This window comes from Homo sapiens, chromosome 4 (genome assembly GCF_000001405.40).
Source record: "Homo sapiens chromosome 4, GRCh38.p14 Primary Assembly".
Lineage (NCBI taxonomy): Eukaryota > Metazoa > Chordata > Mammalia > Primates > Hominidae > Homo > Homo sapiens.
In genome coordinates, this window is record NC_000004.12 from 3,386,857 (window position 1) to 3,406,727 (window position 19,871).

The 19,871-nt window shown below is 46.3% G+C and overlaps 1 protein-coding gene across 19 annotated transcripts in view, besides 2 other annotated features; it reads left to right on the forward strand.

The window, feature by feature from the left end:
• RGS12 (regulator of G protein signaling 12) overlaps positions 1 to 19,871 on the forward strand; it is a 154,023-nt gene that overhangs the window by 100,966 nt on the left and 33,186 nt on the right. The window lies entirely within an intron of this gene.
• Positions 1,104 to 1,373: an enhancer, noted in NCBI's record as "active region_21223". NCBI's record gives its function as "activates an Ori minimal core promoter by ATAC-STARR-seq in GM12878 lymphoblastoid cells {active_cell/tissue: GM12878}" and the evidence as "EXISTENCE:reporter gene assay evidence [ECO:0000049][PMID:35858748]".
• Positions 2,064 to 2,213: an enhancer, noted in NCBI's record as "active region_21224". NCBI's record gives its function as "activates an Ori minimal core promoter by ATAC-STARR-seq in GM12878 lymphoblastoid cells {active_cell/tissue: GM12878}" and the evidence as "EXISTENCE:reporter gene assay evidence [ECO:0000049][PMID:35858748]".

Consider the following 19,871-nt stretch of genomic DNA (forward strand, 5'->3'; position numbering starts at 1 on the left):
AGAAAAGTATAATAGACGAATTGAGAGTGTGGGATGAAGAGGAATCAAAAACTTACTTTCTGTGTTTAAAGAATTTTGTGCACAGGGATTCTTTTCATGGACTGATTGAAAAGGAAGTAGGCAGGAATGTCTTATTTCACTGAAGATTTCTCTGATGTCATCCTTATCATTTTGGTTCAATGATTTAAAAAAACCTCTCCAAAGTAAGGAGAGTTCCTCCGAAATATTCCTCTTTTCTTCTAACACTCCTGACAGTCCGCAGGCTCTCGGGTTTCATCGTCACCTCACGCTTTTGTCCCCACTTCTGTCCCTGAGAGCTGGAATAGGTGCACCTGGCATCGCTGTGGGCCAGGGATGGGCTGAGGCACAGGCTGTGCTGCAGAAGCTGCCCAGGGGCCGGTGGGTTTGAGGTGCCACTGTATTTGTGCGTTAAAGAGAAACCAAATGTCGTTCTCTCACTTTCTGTGGTCCTGCAGCTGCTGGCCTCAGTCCTCGGCCTCGGAAAGGGCTGCTGTCCCCAGGTAGGCAGACAGAGCTCAGAGCCCTCGCAGGCCAGCCACTCTGTAGGAAGGCCAGGAGGACCCCAGGTGGGCAGACAGAGCTCAGAGCCCTTGTGGGCCAGCGGCTCTGTAGGAGGAGGAGCATATCTTGGGTTACACACGCACTGGCACCTGAAGCCGAGACCAGAGGGATCCCGACACTCGTGTGGTGGAGATGTATTTTGTAGAATAAAAGGAATTCTATTTCCTATTTTATGTACAATGAAAATCATGTCATTTAATCAGTCTTAAGGTGGAGGGAGGATAAACTTCCTTAATGAAAAGAAACAGGACCCGGAACCAAATCCAGGATAAAGTGACCGGTGTTTTGAATGATCTGTTCATGCTTTCTCTTTCTGCCGTGTTCTCACTTCTCCTTTCTGGCAGAAGACATTCATTTCTTGCAGGCAATTTATACATGAAAGATTTGCCTAATATGTTTAGTTTCACCATATATAATAAGTTTTATTTGCCTCCAAAAGATTGCTTCTGTCAGCAATAGATGCAGGAACCCAGAGTTGTGTTATGTGTCCATTTTACAGTTGTTTAAAAACCTGCACCTCCCAAGGGTGGGAAGTCTCTAGCTCCTCGCCGTGCTGGCTCTGTGTGTCCCTCTGAGGAAGTGTGTCCTGGCTCCTCGCCACGCTGGCTCTGTGTGTCCCTCTGAGGAAGTGTATCCTGGCCACGCAGAGATCCCCTGGTGCTAGGGCTTTCCACCCCCTGCTCCTCCTTCTTTTCCCAGTGTCAGACCCTGGGGCCACTGGGACAGGCCCGTCCCTCCATGGAGAGCCCCAGTCACAGAGGAGGAGACGGGAGGGAGGAGGAGACGGGAGGGAGGAGGAGACGGGAGGGAGGAGGAGACGGGAGGGAGGAGACAGTCATCAGCACACCCTGAATTTCAGGAACCGCAGTGGGCGGGCTGGATGTTTATTTAGTTCCTTTTTGTGTTTTTGTTATTTTTCCATCTTCAGTTTCTTTGCTTATAAGAGTAAAAAGAGCCAGTTATCTTGTTTAATGTGCACATGAGCTCTAGATCGGTGTCACATTCTGCCGTTGTTAGATGTAGGGCACCGAGGCAGAGTGGGGAGATCCAGCAGCTCACAGTAGTCTGCAGGTGAGATGGCCAGACTCAGGCCTGCAGGGGAAAGCCCTGGCTGAGAGGCCCCTCCACCCTGGCTCCCACCCACCCCCCAGCCCTGGGCCTCCACACGCCCAGCCCCATGGTCCTGGAGAGTCCCCCGCTCCAGCCCTGGACCCTCCAGCGCCTGCAGCCCCTGCTGCCCCTTCTGGTGCCTCAGGCAGAAAGAGGCCCCCTCCCCCACACCCTGCCCTCCACGGCAGTGACAGGAGCCTGGGCGGGGTCGGGGTGGGGGGGTGGTCCCAGGGAAACTCTGGCTGTGTTTCCACACAGAGATCTTTTTATAGGCTGTGGTCAGTGGGAGACTCAGTGCACTGAGGTGGGCCTGGGAACTCCAGCACCCCAGTGTTTTTATGGGAAAAATGCTCCCCGAGTTCCAAGGAGGGACTGAGGAGTTGGCTTGGGGAGCAATCTGCTCAGCTGGGCTGTCTCTGCCTGGTCATCCTGTCTAGTTTTGGTGATTAATAGATCACTCACTTAGAAATATTTTGTGTTCAACGAGCCGTGCCAGTGAGAGAGTTCGTGTTCATGCCACGGTTTCATTCTGTGACGCGTATCGTGCTTTTATAGCTTAGGCTCTCGCTGGAGAGTTTTAGTTTTGTGGCTCGGTTTTAAGGAAGTTGGACTATGCTATTTTGGCAATCTTTGTCAAGTTGGAGTGTGTTTTTTCACTTTTTCAGAAGAAAGGGGCTGATAATGGCCACCCGTTTGTAGCCAAAGAGTGCCCTCGGGAAAAAGGGTTACAGCTGGTCTCTGGGGGGCACGGCAGGGCTGTGGGTGGGGGCAGGGAGCAGATTCCAGCTGGAGAGAAGGAAGCACATTCTAGCATTATAGAGAGGCTTAGCAGGGGAATGGTCTGCCTTGTGGGAAGTTATTCAGACAGAAGTGTGAGGTCGAGCTGGAGGGAGATGGGGCGTTGTGAAGAAATGAGAAAAGGAAGATGCCCGGTTGCTCCTGGAAAAAGGAACCTCTCACCTCTCCTGGTCTGGCTCTGCACAGAGCTGGAGCCGCGGCCGCACAGAAGCCCGTTCTTGTGGCTTCCTCCGTTGGTCAAGCTCTGTGCCAAGAGGCCTGCCAGAATCCCCTCACCCACTGCAGCCTCCACAGGTGGATGTTCCCGCTGTGACCACCTCACCTTCTGAAGTCGGGGTGTGGAGACTATCGGGGAGCTCCCAGAGCGCCCACCTCCTCCTGCGTACGGCGTCTGTGCCAGCAGGAAAGCCGGGGAACTGTGCGGCTCTGGCTTTGGGGGACGGTGGCAGGTCCACATGACACCCCACATACATGACCCCGGTGCTCCAGCTGCTTCTCAAACACTCCGTTCTCGCAGCCTCACCCTGGGGACCCCCGACACGTACTAGTCGCAGTCCTCCATCCCCATGTCCTCCTCATGCCTTGTGCCTCAGCTCTGCCCTGACCCCACTCTGTCCACTCAGCTGCCCCCCTACTCGTCCTCCATGCAGACCTCAGTCTTGGCCCTGTCTCTGCAGCCATCCTCCCGCTCCCTTCTCCTGAACGCTGGTGGTTGCCCCCACAGCAGCAGCAGTGATCTGCCCAGCCCCTGCACTGGACCCCTCCACCAGCTCAGAGCCCCTGTTCCCCCAACCATCCTGCGTCCCACCCTGGTCTCCAATGGTGCCTCAGGCACATGCGGTTTCCCTCTTCCCTTCCTGACCACCTGCCCCCATCCTGAGCGATGGCCACTGTCAATTTCCTGCCCGTGCTAGGGGCAGCTTCCATCATTTTAATTATTCATCTGTGTTGGTGCTTTTGTCCCCCCAGCTGGTGTGACCTCCACGTGGCAGGTCAGAGTTGTCCCGGCACCCGGCACAGCGGCTGGCACGAGAGCTGTCTGTTGAGTGAATGATCGGGTGTTCAGCAGACATCAGCCAGAGCGTCAGGGCGAGGCTTGGGCGGGGACAGTGGCTTTCAGTGATTTTCCTTTTAGTCGTGAAACCTTCTCAAAAAGCACACACAAGCACAGAAGCAGAAACTCCTGTGTGACTGGTGTTGCGGGGTGGACCCACTGCCGCCGCCTCCTCCTGGGCTGCTCTGCGCGCCTGCCAGGCTCTTCCAGTGCCTTCACCCAACACGCGGGCCTTTGGAGCTCAGACCTGGCCATGGCGGAAGATTCGGGCTCCACCTGCAGCTCCACAGCTGACAGGCCGATCTCTTGGGGCAAGTCACTTTCTCTCTCCTAGCCTTGTGTCTTCATCTCGCCGGTCCTTGTTAGCGAACAGGCACTGAGGCCTGGGGAGCTGTCACAAACGGCTGCCTGATGGGGGAGGGTTACCGTAATTGCCGGATTAACTTGGGGGACTTTAAACTGCATTCCTCTTTAAAATATAAAGTATAATTGTTGATATTTTTGGCAAATGCCAAAATTTGTATTCTATACAATTTTGAAAGAGAAAGGGAAAAGCTTGAGAGTAGAACCATCAGTACTTACATAGAATTAGTTGATAAATTTACATTTTCCTCATCAGAAAAACAGTGCAGCCTAATTGCACATTTTCCAAAAATGTTTGCTAAATAGCAGAAACAGAATGTTAATTTGTAATGCGCTATTGTGGGAGTGGTTGTTTTAACCAGAACCCTTTACTTGATTTAATATGTCACATTCTTTTGGTTTGCTTTTGGACTTCAAAATGATGCTCAGAATCACACAGTGTATTTGTAGGGTGTGGAATACCGTATTAGTATTTGTAAACAGGAGTCAGACTGGAGATTTTCAGTTTTGGAAGTGTGGAGACTTGATTTCTGCCAGGATGCCTTCCGATGTACTTGTTTCTTTCCAATTCTACAAGATATTTGGAGAGTTTTTATTACTAGTTTTTAATATTGTGAAATTATTTTTTCAAGCAAACAAATTCAAAGGTAATAAAACCACTAACTGCATACCTATCTTCCAGAGTTAACGTGTGCTAGCCAGGGGGCCTGTGCCTGAGAATTGACTCAGGGCTGGGGTGACCACAGAAGCCCTTGGTGCCCCTGCGGCTGCATCCCCTCCCCAGAGGCCACACTTGGAAGCAGGCGCCACCCCTTCCCACTCCAAGGGAGTTTCTTAGTTAGATTCTTGGGGAAAAGATAAAACAAACGAAGAACTCCTCTCATGCAACCCTAGGCGTGAGAAGCAGTGTCCGCCCTGTTTGGTGGTCTGGAGGCCATGTCAGAGAGGGCTGCCTGGCGTGTTTGGGGGCCTCGTCAGAGAGGGCTGCCTGGGGTGTTTGGGGGCCTCACCAGAGAGGGCTGCCTGGGGTGTTTGGGGGCGTCAGAGAGGGCTGCCTGGGTGCTCCAGGGAAGCTCCTCCTGCTCAGCTTCTCGGTCTGGGAGGATGTTCACCTGCAAAACTCCACCAAGCCATATGCTCATAATCTGTGCACTTTTCTGTATATCTTAATAGTTTACTAAAATAATTAATATTTTAAATTTCTGGAACTTTTAACCTAAGGACTTTCAAAATGGTCTGAAAATGTTAATAGATTTGCTCTCAGGAGAGTATGTATGAAGTTTGCAGAAAGAAAGCATTATGTAGATTGGATTGAAAATCAGATTGGCCAAAATGATTTAAGGAAAAGGTCTAGAAGTAGATCCTGAGTGTGGGGAGAGCTCAAGGGCTTTTCTCAGGGACAGGACCTGTGCAGTTTTATGCAGTTGAGGAAGATCCTTCCCCTACCCCCAGGCTAGATAGACTGTGGGAAGAGATCCCCTCTGGGCATACCACCTAACAGAAAGCTTTTAAGACTTTCTCCTTATTGTCGGTTTTCAGCAATTTGATTATGATGAGTCTCAGGTTGGTTTTTCTGTGTCTGTTGTGTTTGGGATTTGTTGGGGTTCAGGTATTTTTTTCATTGTTTCCCACTTTTGAGACTCTAATTATGCAAGCATGTTAGGCCACCTGGTTTTCCCTTCAGCTCATGGAGGCCGTTTCATGTTCAGGCTTCTGTGTCGCCTGCATGCTTGCCATTTCATTGTTTCTCTTGCTCTATCCTGCAGTTCACTGATCTGTCATTTTAGTGTCAGATATACAGCTCATTCCCTCCTGTGAGGGAATTCCTGCCGATCAGCCTGTCATCTCAGAGACTGTGTTTTCATCTTTAGCAGTTCCTTCTATTTTTTTCATTTCTTTCTACTGATTCTCTTCACGCTTTGCTTTAAAACCCCAAAAATGTTGGCTGGGTGCAGTGGTTCATGCCTGTAATCCCAGCACTTTGGGAGGCTGAGGTGGGCGGATCAGCTGAGGTCAGGAGTTCAAGACCACCCCGGCCAACATGGTGAAACCCCGTGTCTAATAAAAATATAAAAATAGCTGGGCATGGTGGCAGATGCCTGTAATCCCAGCTACTCGGGAGGCTGAGGCAGGAGAATCTCTTGAACTCAGGAGGCAGAGGTTGTAGTGAGCTGAGATGGTGCCACTGCACTCCAGCCTGGGGGCAGAGTGAGACTGTCTCAAAACAAAAACAAAAAACCCCAAAATGTTTGTATATTTATAAGACATGTAAAGCCCTTAGATGCCAGTGCTATCATCTCTGTCTTTCTGGGTCCCTTTATTGACTGACTTTTCTCCTGGTTATGGGTTACATTTTTCTGAGTATTCATTTGTCTGGCAGTTCTTGACTGAGTGCTGAATTTTGTTGCCTTCCTTTAAAAAATACAGAGGTTTGTAAAGCTACATTTGGGGACTCCTCTAAAAGCTGGGGATTCACCCAGAACTGGCTGGAACTCGGGAACCCCCTGACCCTGTGTGAGTTCTGGCAGCTGTTCCCGCCGCAGCCCCCGGCTGATCTTTGCCTGCCTCGTGGGGTCTCGGCTGTGCATGCACAGCTTAGAACTCAGCCACAGGTGGAGGCTCCTGTGAGGTCCCTGGGCACTTTCCCTGCTAGGTCTCTCCTGCACCTGCAGCTCCAGCCACCCTGGCCTTCCCCGATTCTGACCTGTCTCCTCAGCTCTGGACGGTGGTTCTACCTGGGCCCCACCTTGTGCTGTGGTTCATGGAGTGCCTCTGGGCTGACAGCTCTGGGTGGTCACAGGGCTCACCTTATTAATTTTTTCATCAGGAATTACACCCCTTCTGGTGACTGTGGTCCAATTTTGGGAACTGTTGCTTCGCATATTTTGCTTTTCTTTTTTCTGTCTTTTCCCGCAGGTTCTGATGCTCTGCGTATTTTGTCTACTATTCTACTGTCTGGCAGGAGGGGAAGGCCTGTCCCAGGTGCTCTCCCACGGCAGATAGAGTTCTGTGATATAATTTTTTTCACCTTACTTGTGGGATGTGGTCTGTAAAGTTCAGAACAAAACTCAGGTCATGACGGCACCTTGTACAAAGAGCTTCACTGATTTCCCAAAAGCTGCCTCACAACCCAGAAAGAGCAGGTTCTCCTCTCCCCAGGCCCGTCCCTGGAGCATCTGAGGCCAGCACCATGCTGGGTCTATGGGGAAATGGCTGGAATTTGGGGAGGAAGCTGCCCAGCCCAGGTTGGACTTGGCCTGGCTGGCTCCCTAGGTGAAGTGCAGAGACCAAGCCTCTGCCCGGCCCTCAGAGCACCTGCGACTGACCCTTCCTGCCGGCATCTCTCTGAACGTGGTGCCCTTCCACGGCATTTCATCCGTCTGCTCCTTCAGCACATCTTTTTTTTTTTTCTTTTTTGAGACAGAGTCTCGCTCTGTCACCCAGGCTAGAGTACAGTGGTGCAATCTTGACTCACTACAACCTCTGCCTCTTGGGTTCAAGTGATTCTTGTGCCTCAGTCTCTCAAGTAGCTGGTATTGCAGATGTACACCACCACGCCTGGCTAATTTTTGTATTTTTAGTAGAGATGGTGTTTCACCATGTTGCCCAGGCTGGTCTCGAACTCCTGACCTCAGGTGATAGACCCACCTTGGCCTCCCAAAGTGGTGGGATTACAGGCGTGAGCTACCATGCTCAGCCGAATATGTGAAATGTAAATAACAAATCTAGAAAGGAATGTAGGTAACAAATATCTAATGAGAATACTCTATTAGGAATTGCATTTTATATTAAATGATACTGATGTAGAAAGGTGGCTCTATTCTGCTCACATTTCGTGACACTATTTAAACACTTCAGATGCATTTTTGTTGCAATTGTTTTTCAAGTAATGAAAACTTTTTATTGAAGAATAGCTTACACGCTGAAAGGTACATACATGATCAATAAGCAATTTGAGAGATTTTCACAGAATGAACACATGTGTGTTATCAGCACTCAGACCAAGAGACAGAACATTACCAGCAGCCCAAGCGCCCCTGCAGGCCCTCAGTCACCAGCTCCGGAAGGGACCTCTCACCCGACGGCTGTTGCCTGTTTTCAAACTTAAAAAAAAAAGAAGACTGACTGGGCACAGTGGTTCACATCTGTAATCCCAGCACTTTGGGAGGCCGAGACAGGTGGATTCCTTGAGGCCAAGAGTTCAAGACCAGCCTGGCCAATATGGCAAAACCCCGTCTCTACCAAAAATACAAAAAAACAAAACAAAACAAAAAAAAACATTAGCTGGATGTGGTGGCGCATGCCTGTAATCCCAGCTACTAGGGTAGCTGAGGCAGGAGAATCTCTTGAACCTGGGAGGTGAAGGTTATAGTAGGCAGAGGTTGCAGTGAGCAGAGTTTGCGCCACTGCACTCCAGCCTGGGTAACAGAGTGAGAGTCCATCTAAAAAAAAAAAAAAAGACTCAACGCAGCGTATGCTGTTTAGTGTCTAGCTTCCTTTATTTAACATAGGATGGTGCATTTTGCTCCTGTGAGTCTATCAGGAGCTGTTTACTCTCCTAGCTGTGGACTGTCCATGGTGCAAATATGGCATCGTTCCTCCATTCTTCTCTTGATGACATCGTGTTGGTTCTGACTTTTGGCCGTTACAGATGGTGCCATATAACATGCTTGTACAGGTCTTTTGGGTGGGCATCTGCATACATTTCTGCTCTGATAGGCTGGGGGTTTGTATATATTCACCTATAGTAAATACTGCCAATTTCCAAATGATTTTTACAGTGTCCACATTGACTAGCAGTATATAAGAATTCTAGGTGTTCAACATCCTCTCAACACTTTCCCTGTAGCCACATACATAGGGCTTTAATTGTATTAATAGTTTTAGTTCTCAGTCCCCTGATGACTATGAATTGATCACCTTTTCATATATTTTTGGCCCTTTGAATATCTTATTTTGTGAAGTGCTTGTTCAAGACTTTTGCTTATTTTTCTGTTAGGTTATCTGCCTTTCCTTATTGATTTATAGAATATTTTAAAAATATATTCTGGAAATGATTTTATGGTGGATTTACGTATAGTTTTCCCTTAGTGTCTCTAGGGAATTGGTTCCAAGACCCCTTGAGGATACCAAAATCTGCAGATACTTGAGTCCCTGATATAAAATGGTGTAGCGTTTGCATATAACCTACCCATACCTTCCTGGGTACTTTAAATCATTTCTAGATTACTGATAACAGCTAATACAATGTAAATGGTATGTAAACAGTTGTTATACTATATTGTTTTTATTTGTATTTTTTGTTGTATTGTTATTTTTTTTCCATTAATTTTTTTTCCAAATATTTTCCCAAATATTTTCCATCCACAGTTGGTTGAATCTGTGGATGCAGAACTGTGGGTGCGGAGGGCTGGCTGTATTAGATATACCTTGTGTTTTGGATTTATGTGTTTGTGATAGATTTATGTATGTAGTTAAGCCTTTCTATACCTTACCTGTTCATTCTCTTAGTGGTATCTTGTGATGACTGAAAGTTCTTAATATAATCCAGTTTATCATTTTTCCCCTTAGGGTAATGCTTATGTCCCTTTAGAGCAGGCTTTGCCCTTCCCAAGACCATGAAAGTAAATCTGTTTTGTTTTATCTTCAATATTTAAATCTCTGATTCATCTGGAATTGGTATTTTTGTCTATGGTGTGAGGTAGGGGTAAGATTCATTTTTTCTACATGGTATTCAGTTGTCCCAGCTCCATGTAATGAAAAGACAATCCTTCCCAATAACTTGAAGCAACACCTGTATCAGGTAATCATATATTTGTGGGTCTGTTTCTGGCCTCTGTATTCTGTTCCATTGGTCTGTTTGTCTATCATTGGATCAGGACTTCATGTCGTAATTCTCGTCCCTGGCATTTGGATATCTAGTGCTATAGTCTTCATTTTGCTTGTCTTTAAGATTGCCTTGGTTATTCCTGGCCCTTGCATTTCCTTATATATTTTGGAGGCAATTTTCAAGTCACTGGCAGCTTTCCAGAGTCATCTTCACTTTTGTCCAAGCTGGTTGAGACATAGCATTTCTGGAATCTGTGTTGATGCTTTTCCTGGAAATGTTATCACAAGCCACATGCAGCCATTGACATTTGGACAATTGGGGTTTTTTTTTTTTAATTGCTGTAATTATACATATGTGATCTTCAATATGTAGTTACTCATTCTTGCTCTCAAAGTCTTGAGACCATTCCTCCCAGGAATAAATACTAAATCTGGCTTGGTTTGCCTTTTAAAAAACCATCTCTTCTGGATGAATGACCTCTATAAGTATCTAACACCAGCATTAATGGAGATGATTTCAGGCTAATGCATCACCCTCAAATAGACTCTTGCTCGAAAGAAGGTGAGGGAGCAGCCTGGGACACACAAGACCTTGCAAGGACTTGAGAAAAAAGGGACTGGTTGCATCAGAGAAGCCAGTGGGAAGCCCCTGTGTGCCTCTGGGTGCCGAGGTGGGCTGTGGTGGGATGCCACACTGGCTGCGATAGAAGAAGAAGGAGCTGTGCAAGTGCGTGGCCGGGCCAGAGCCCACCCTGTGGTCAGGATGGCCGAGCAGAGCTGAGACCTGACAGATGGGTGAGGATTAACCCTCATATGAGTTTGGGAAGACAGGAAGAACCAGGAAAAAGCTGAGATGGCAGCCAGGGGGTCGCGAGGAACCCAAGAGAGAGTAGTCGTGTGTGCACATGTCCATGGGAGGAGCAGTGGAACGACGTGAGAGGGGTCCCAAGACTAACCTCAGGGTTTTGCCTCAGGCAGCTCGGAGGATGAGGGTGTTTGCAGAGATGGGGAAGACTAGGGTGGGAGGAGCAGATAGGGGGGTGATAACCAAGAATTCTGCTTTGGACATGGGATTTTTGAGATGTTTATTCAAAATCTACTGGAGATATTGTGTAGACAGTTGGATAAATGAGTACAGAATGCAGAAAAGTGGTTGGGCTTGAAAATAGAAATTTGGGAGTCATCAGCGTTTCAATGAAACTCATTGGCTTGGTAAACTTGAGTAATTATAGATCATGCAGAAAAGGCGAGTCTCAAACCCATAAGACACATGGGAAACCAGAAGATGCTGAAGATGTGGTTTGAGAGGCAATAGGACATAGAACAATTAAGAGTATGGCCTCTGGAGCCAAATTATTTAGGTTTACATCCTAATTCTGCTACTTCCTAGCTGTGGGTCTCATTTCTCTCATCTGTAAAATGGAATAATAGTAGGACCCATTACTTACAGACTTCTTACAGGAAGTAAATGATTTAATATATGTGAAGTACATCGGACAATACCTGGTACATTATAAGGAGTTATATAAATGATAACTGCCATTATTTGTAATGGCATTTTAATTGCATTTTCAATATAATTGACCACTGGAAGTGAATAAAATTATTTAGAGGGACTGGGTAGAGAAAATAAGCCAGGAGGTCCTGAAGAAGCTTACAAGATCAACAAGAGAAAGAGCATCAGAGGAGAAAAACTCTCCACTTTGATTGTTAAAAACCCAATTTTAAAATAAGCGATGTTGAACCAGGCACGGTGGTGCACACCTATAATCCTAGCTGTGGATTATAGGGAATGCTTGGGAAGCTGAGGCAGGAGGCTCACTTGAGGCCAAAAGTTTGAGACCAGCCTGGGCAATATAGTTTGACTCCTTCTGAAAACAAACAAACAAACAACAATAAGTGACAAAAGTTTGAAAACAACTAAATGAGAGGATATAACAAGCAATATTAAGAAAAAAGAGAAGTGGCATAACAATATTAATATCAGACAAAGTGAAAAAGCAATAAAAAGAACAAAAAAGACAGTGTGCACCAAAAGTAGCATGAGATTTGCAGAACAGAAGTAAATGGCACGGTATCAACATGGGTAAGTACTCCGAGGGGGAATTATTACACACCTTTTTCAGAAACCAAGAGATCAAGCTGAAAAAAAAAAATAGTAAGATTACAAAGTATGTGAATGGAAAAATGAGCAAATTAAATCTAACAGACACATAGAGAGCTTTGTACCAAATGGAAAATACACTTTTTTTCTAAAGTACGTGGAACATTTACTAAAGTTGTGGCATACAATATGCCACACATGCAGTTGCTACAAATTTAAAAAAATTATAGCATACAGAGAATAGCTCCTGACAGCAGTGTATTTGAATAGAAGTCGATCATAAAATGATAACAAAAAAGAATTCATACATTTTAAAGTTTAAAACCATACTTCTAAATAATCCATGGGTCAAGGAAGAAATTAAAATGGGAGTTATCATACAGTTTAGAACCATTTATGGTTCTATACTACACATCATCACCAGTAGAATATAATCAAAGTGATTTTCAGTGAAAAAATTGTAGCATTAAATGTATATATTAGAAAAAAGTTTGAAAATATAGGAAATAAGTTTTCAACAGAAGCAAGTACGGAAAAAAGGAAATGCAAATTAAGGAAATGAAGATAAATGCAGAAATTATCAAAATAGAAAAAACCAAACAGTATACAACTAAAAGTATGAACAAAAGTATAATCAAGAAAAAGAGGGAGGCCAGGCACAGTGGCTTATGCCTGTAATCTCAGCACTTTGGGAGGCTGATGCAGGAGGATCACTTGGGCCCAGGAATTTGAGACCAGCCTGGACAAAACACCATCTCTACAAAAAAAGAAAAAGAGGAAGAGGACAAAGATAACATCAAGAATGAAAGACAGGTCCTAAGTACAGTTAGAGACTAAGAAGTAACACTATAGGACAATTCCATTAACAACTTTATACTGTACATTTGATTAACCGGACAATCTTTAGGAAAATATAAATGATCAAAGTTGGCCTAAGAAGAAGTAGAAACTGATTAGATAAATCAACATAGGCAAAAATGATTTGGAAGTCAAAGATCAAAACCCCCATAGGCACCATGCCCAAACCAATATACAGATGAGTATATCAGTCAGCTTAGGCTAAGTAATATTGCAATAACAAATAACACCAAAAATCCTGGTGGGTTTAACAAAGCAGATGTTCATTTCTTACACTACATTACATGCCTACTGCAGTTTGGCTTTGTTTTTGTTCTAAGTGTTTTCCTCCAGGAGCCAGGCTATTGGAGCGCTTCCTAAATGGGGCACTGCAGGCCTTGTGGCCGAGGGAAAAGACGGCAGGGCAGAATCAGGTCATGGCTCTCAGCCATACTGTTTCACATTCATTGGCCAAAGCATAACACATGGTTTGCCTGACGTCAGTACACAGGGCTTGAATGATCTTCCACAAGGGGGGGCAACAAACATTTCCAACTTAATATTGTCTTTACACAGGGCATAGAAGATGGGAAGCTTCTCACCTCAGTTTGCAAGACTGGCATATTCCTGATACCAATATTGGAGAAAGATGGCACAGGAAAATTGAATTATTGGCCAGTTTCACTTATGAGTAAATATAGAAGTTTGTAAATAAAATAATTAGCAAATCAAATCCAGTAGCATTTTTTAATGCATCCTTGTGAAGTTTGGTTTACACAAGAAATGCAAAGATAGTTCACCCTTAGGGAATTTTCCATTCATCCCACCATTCATTCAACAGTGATTTTTGTGGGGCTCTCACTTTTCTTCAAAAAACTCTTCTAGGAACTAGGGATACATTGGTGAACAAAACAACGGATTGTGTTACATTAATAGATTAAAGGACGAAAATCATATTATTACCACACTGGAGGCCAAAGGAGCATCTAATAGAATTACTGATAAAAAGCACTCATTCCTTTTTTAAAAAGTTATACTTAATAGAATACATGAATGTACTCTATTAATTATTATATATTATATATTCTATTAGTAATAGTATTAGTTTTAGTAATACTAACTACTAGCTAGTATTACTATTAGAATTAGTATTAGTATTAGTAATACTAATTGCTTATTAGTATTAGTAATACTCATTAGTAATACTCATTAGTATTAATAATTAGTAATAGAATATATATGATAATGAATAGAAAAAGCACTCATTCCTTTTTTACAAAGTTATACTTAATAGAATACATATAATAATAATTATACTATTAGTAATAGTATATATATTAGAAAAATTCCTATTAGAGCCAGGAATAGGCAAGGATGTTCTCTATCTCAGCAACTGTTTTAACATTGTATTGAGATTCTGGCCAGCACTACATGGCAAGAAAAAAATATTAAACTTGGGAAGAAAAAAGATAATCATCATTTACAAATAATATTATTATCTAACTATTATACAAAACCGAAAGCATAGCCCATGGCCAGGTCCAACTTTTAAACCTGGCAGAGTTCAGTGAGATCAACCCTGGCGGCTTTCCTAAGCAAAACACATGATTTCCATGGGAGCATATGTATGTTGGTAAAAATGCTTTAAAAATTCGACAGACCAACACCAAATTAATAAGATGGATTATCTTTGGGGAGGGGGTATAGGACCAGAATTTTAGGTGATAAGCCCAATAGGGATTTTAGATTTATATTTACATTTTTTCAAGGAAGAAAATATTTTATGAATTATGCATTATAATGTCAGTTTATATCCCTTTCAGCCTGTAGTCTCTCATTAGCTGTTACTTGGGACAAGCAATCCACTTAGTCAGACGATGTTATTGGATGCCTAGGATGTGCCTCGCACTGTTTGTCACAGTGTTCCTTTCATGTCAGCATAGACGCATAGTTATTATCCCAGCTTTATAGGAAAGTTAAGTAACTCGTAAGTTACTTGGTGAGGAGGGGAGTTCTCACGCTGTCCCTGTGAAGTCCGAGCACGGTTTTTACTGCGGTTTTACAGCGGGGGGAGTGTCTTGCCCAGTGAGGAAGGAGCGGAGCTCTGAGTCAGATCCAAACAGTGTGACTCTGGAACCACGCCGTGAACCGGCACACTGTGGACTAGGTAACACCAGGCTGAGGATCCACCTCCTAGAATACAGCTTGCCATAGAGCAGACATCCCGTCAGCACCTGTGAATCGTGAGAAGGAGGCGGTGGCCTCATTTACCGCATGCTCACCTTAAACTTGCCCACCCGGTTTTAGGAAGAGAATGGGCAGAATGGCTGGGTTCCCCATGGAGGAGAGCCCTGCCTTAGCCTCGTCTCTTGCTGCGTAAAAGTCCAGGGCTTTGCAGAGCCTCTCCACAGTCAGCAAGGAGAAGCAGTCTCCAGAGGTGGCCCCCTGAGCCCCAGCTCCACCCCTGGGAAGGGGCCAGACCACAGGCAGCAGGCCCTGGAGCCCGTGAGCGCTGCCTACCTCCCTGGGCCAGTGGACATGGGACCAGCATGGTGACCAGATTTTTGGAAGCCCGGTTTAGGACAAATGACTTTTTAAGTTTGATTGTTTGATATCAGAAGTTATATAAAAGGTACAAACATTGCATTATGCTTAGTTTTACATCTAACATATTATATTTATTATTAAAATTATGTGAAGTCATCACAGTCCCAGCAAATACCATTTATATGGCCACCATGGCTGAGAGCATCCACCATCTGCCCCTGATGTGTAGAGTAGGCCTTTTTTCCGTGTCTTGTGTTACCTCTTTTTGGCTTATGGGGTGGCCTCTAAATGTCACAAATCCTTTATGCTTTTACACACTCAGGCCCTTCCTCCTTCCCTGAAGCCTGGTCCTCTGGCCTCAGTCCTGCTGGGTAGGGTGCCCTTTCGTCCTCTCTATCCCTGGACTCTTTCAGTGGAAGCACAGGTCCCCAGGACTGTGTCTTCAGTTTTCTGTGTGGGTGGCCCCACCTTGGCTTGAGGGAAGGGTTTAGGACCACTTTTGAGTCTTCCTCATGAGGTCAGCATTTGGGGCCCCTGGGCTTCTGCATTGGGTGGCGTCCTCTGCGTTGGGTGGCGTCCTCTGCGTTGGGTGGTGTCCTCTGGTGGGGCCAAGCCACAACCAGAAGGTCTGAACTTCCTGTGTGGCCACTGGCACAAGAATAGAAGAAGAATGTCTTTACAAAGTATAAATATTTTATTCATCAAAATGAAGTAAGTCAGTTTCACAAAGGAATTAACCACTAAATGAGTAATGTGAAGTTTTTTCAGCTCAAGTAAGCATAATAAATGAAGTCAGTTAGGGTTGATCTTTGAAAAATGTTCTGTGTCTTTTCTTGGAGCATCCTGAGGGCTCCCTGTGGTCAGATGTGACCTCACCAACTACTTATGGTCATAGTTGGTAGCTCTAAGCCTAGAATCCTAAAAATTCAGAGTGACAAGTGACATAATTCACTCGTCTTTGCACATCGCCTAACACTTCCCACACTGACCTTCGCAGGAGCCGCTCTGCTCACTCGCATGGCCTCATGGGCTCTGGCAGCATTTCACCCCCGCCTGTTGGCATTTCACTCTCCAGAAGGACTTGGTGTCACTTCAGACGTAGAGAGTTTGTTTTGCTGGGCTCTGCCAGAATAGTTATAAATCACACGTTTCTAGTACTGACTCCAGGAAAGACCCAGAATTCAGATTTCTCCTGTTTGGGCCCACATTTCTTCTGGCCCTCTGAGGTAACGGGAAGTACACTATATCTCGAGGGGTCCGTGAGACCTGCCAGGCGTGGCAGCTCCTCTGCAGGGCTGTGAGGTCTGGCTGTGGGGGCCAGACTCACGGTCAGCCCAGAAAGTGCTGCTGGGGATACCGGGACCTCACCATGGAGAATGTGGAGTCTGGGCCCAGCATAGTCACTGATGTCAGCCCAGGCAGGTCATGGAATGTTTTGGACCTCAGCAGCTTCATCTGTAAAATGGGCTGATTGACTGAGATCGATAGCATGTAAACACTTTTCTGAGGAGGTGCTATTCCAGATCCCTGTTTTCTAACCCTCAGCAGGCTCTGCTGTTGTGGCAGGCTTTTGTTGAGATGCAGAGCTGGGCCGGCCTCCGCAGCCTGTGCTGCTTAAAGCAGAGGGGGCCTGAGCCTACCCTACCTGTTCTTGCCCGACATGTCCTCCTTCCTCCGCAAGCCAGCCCCTCACAGGGATTCCCGTAAGATTTCTCTGGGAAGAAAGGCCTCATTGCTTTAAGTTTGAAAAGCATCTTCCAGTTGATAACTGGGGAATGAAATAGATACTCTGAGACCCAAAGGGGGCTATTGACGTGGGGTGATGTGACAAAATGTGGATACAAAATTTCACACCCCAGTATGAGGCTGGGGTGAAGCTAAGGGAGTAAGGAGGGGGCTATGGGCTGTGGCAGCCCTCCCTGCACTACCACACTTCTGTGCAGAACTTAGGTTCCAGAATTCTAAATTAAACCTGGCCTTCCAGGTTGTTGGAGGGTAGCGAGATGGCATATAGCTTATTTAACAATGTGTTAGCCTTTGTTACAATTTTCCAGCATTTAGATATATGGTGTAAGCTCCTTCGTCTACACTTGCCCCAAGCCTTGCAAAGATTAGTTCTCTTCCATGAGAAAACCAAGGCACAGACATGCTCAAGGCCATGTGATCAATCACATCATGGCAGCCAGAGACAGAAGGATTGTCCTGAGGCACAAGTCTCCACATGGGGATTTTCTGTGAAAGTGAATTTTGCCGCTGTAGTGACTGCATGGTAGGTATTCACGAGGCCTGGCTGTTTCGAAAGGGAAACAAAATCACTTTGGTGATCAAGTGCAGGCTTTAAACAGTAGGTGGTAGGATTTTAAGCTGGGCGAGTAAGTAGGTCTGTCTGTGCAGGGGTGTGGGTCAGTCGTTCTTAAGCTGCTTTCTGTTTGTGCCAGGCTTGAGCACAGGGACAAACACATCAGAGCTCATGGGAGCCAGTTCCCCACTGCCAGCAGGGAGTTACAGAGATGGAAGAGGAGGTGAGGATGTGCTCAGGGTGTTGGGTTGGCATTGGAGGCGTCAGTATGAACCGATGGCTTTCAATAGAGGGATGTGTGGATGGAGAGATAGACATAGCAGTGTGTGCGTGTGCATCCACATTTCCCAGCTCTGTCCACCAGGGTGGGGCTGGAGGCAGGGAAACCCCAGTAGCAGTGAGCACCTGCATGTCCAGATTTTGGTGTCTATACCTCTTTTCTGTAGAGGGTGTCAGGCTCTGTGGAGCAAAGACTAATTCCTGGGCTGGAGTGGGAAAAACACAGGATGAAGCTGGAGCTTCGCTTTTATTTTTTTTCACACCAGAAAATAAGGCAGTGCTTAAGGCATGATGAGGACACATGAGCAGGATACAGGTGCCAGCCTGAAGGAGGGACTGAGCTTCCAAAAAAGAAAGGTGTTCATGGGGTATGAGCCATGGACTAAAATAAAAACCCAGCAAGTCCACACTAACACAGATAAATGGCTTTGTAGTAACAGGAGGGGGGCTCTTAGAGCAGAATACAGCTGAACAGTGCGTCAGGAAATCATCAGAGGGTGCTAAAGTTGTGGACTCAGGCTTGATGCGAAGCAAGACACTTACAGAGCCTCGGGGTAGTTCTGCACGAAGCTTATTATCACCAGGGAACCCTAGAAACGACAGCGGACAAATCTGGTGCCCCAGCCACATGATGAGAGCCAGCGTCACCCACCCTGCAGTAAACTGACACCACGTGCCTCCTCAGAGGAGGTCCCAGAGGGACACCGCATGGCTTCCAGGGCATTCCAGCCAGTCACAAAGAAACATCAGCCAAGCCCAAACTGAGGGGCAGTCTTAAAAATAACCAGCCTCTGTCAGGGTTGGAACCACAGAGAGGCTGGGGAACATTCCAGATGGAAGGAGACTGCAGACACACAGCAGCAGCCACCCTGAGTTCCACCCTGCTCTGGGGAAAAGAGCTGGAAAGGACAGGATTGACGAAGCTGGAAGATGGCTTGTTAAATTTCCTGATTTTGATGTCGGTACTTGGTTATGAGAGAATGTCCACCTTCTTAGGAAATCTACACTGACGTGTTTAGGGGCAAAGAGGCATGCTGTCTCCAACTTAATCTCAGATAGTCTGGAAAAAGGTTGCGTGTGTGCAGGTGTGAACGTGTTTAGAGGAAGGGAGAATGGGCGGAAGGGAGAGGGACGGGATGATACAGCAAGCAGGAAGAATGCGGACATTTGGTGAATCTGGGCAAACGGATATGGGAGTCCCTTTTATTATTCTTATAATTTTTCTGCAAGTTTGAAATTATTTCAAAAGAAAAAGTTGCCCCCCCAAAAAGGATGGCACACATTGTCTAGGAGAGGGCTGGTTTGGGTGTGAACAAAGGTTTCCTGTGGCATCTCGGTGCTCGTATGTCCCGGCTCCCCCATAAGCACATTTAGCTGCACTGATAGTGCCTACATCTGGGCTTCGGCCACTTGCCCATCTTCATTCTCCTGGCCCTCACAACAGCCCTGCAAGCCCCTGCCAGCCGCAGATGGACACGGGGACTGAGGCCCACGGGACTGTGGGGCCCCGCCGAGGTGACCGGCCAGAAAGGAGTGCAGAACTCCGGCCAGGGCGGGCTCAGAGCCTGCACCCACGCCTCCTGCCTGGGCCGCCCTGTGAATGGGGGAGAAGGGCTTCCTGTGCCTCAGAAACTGGAGGCCAAGAAGCACATGATGGACGGGTGGGCCGAATGAGGCCAAGCTCTGCCTTCTACAGCCTTTCCAGGACTTTTTTCTTGGAAAATGTGGAGCTTGATTGGATGCCTTTGTAGTGGAGCTTCCATCAAGTTAGAGCTGCTTGTGTGGCAGTGTCCATCCGGGAGTCAGTAGATGGGGTCAACAAACAGCGCCTTCAGCCAAACCCTGCCACCAACCAGCTTTGTGTAATGAAGTGTCAGTGGGATGGCCATGCCCATTCCTGCAGTTGCTGTCGGGGGCCGCTTCTGTCCTAACTGCAGAGAGTGCAGTGTCCTAGAAAAATGGAGACTGTGTGTCACCCGCCCTCTCCAGGGAACTTTGCTGGGCCTCACCTGTGGTGTTAGCGGATGTTTCCTAACCCTTGAACCAAGACCCAGGAGATCCTCTCAGAG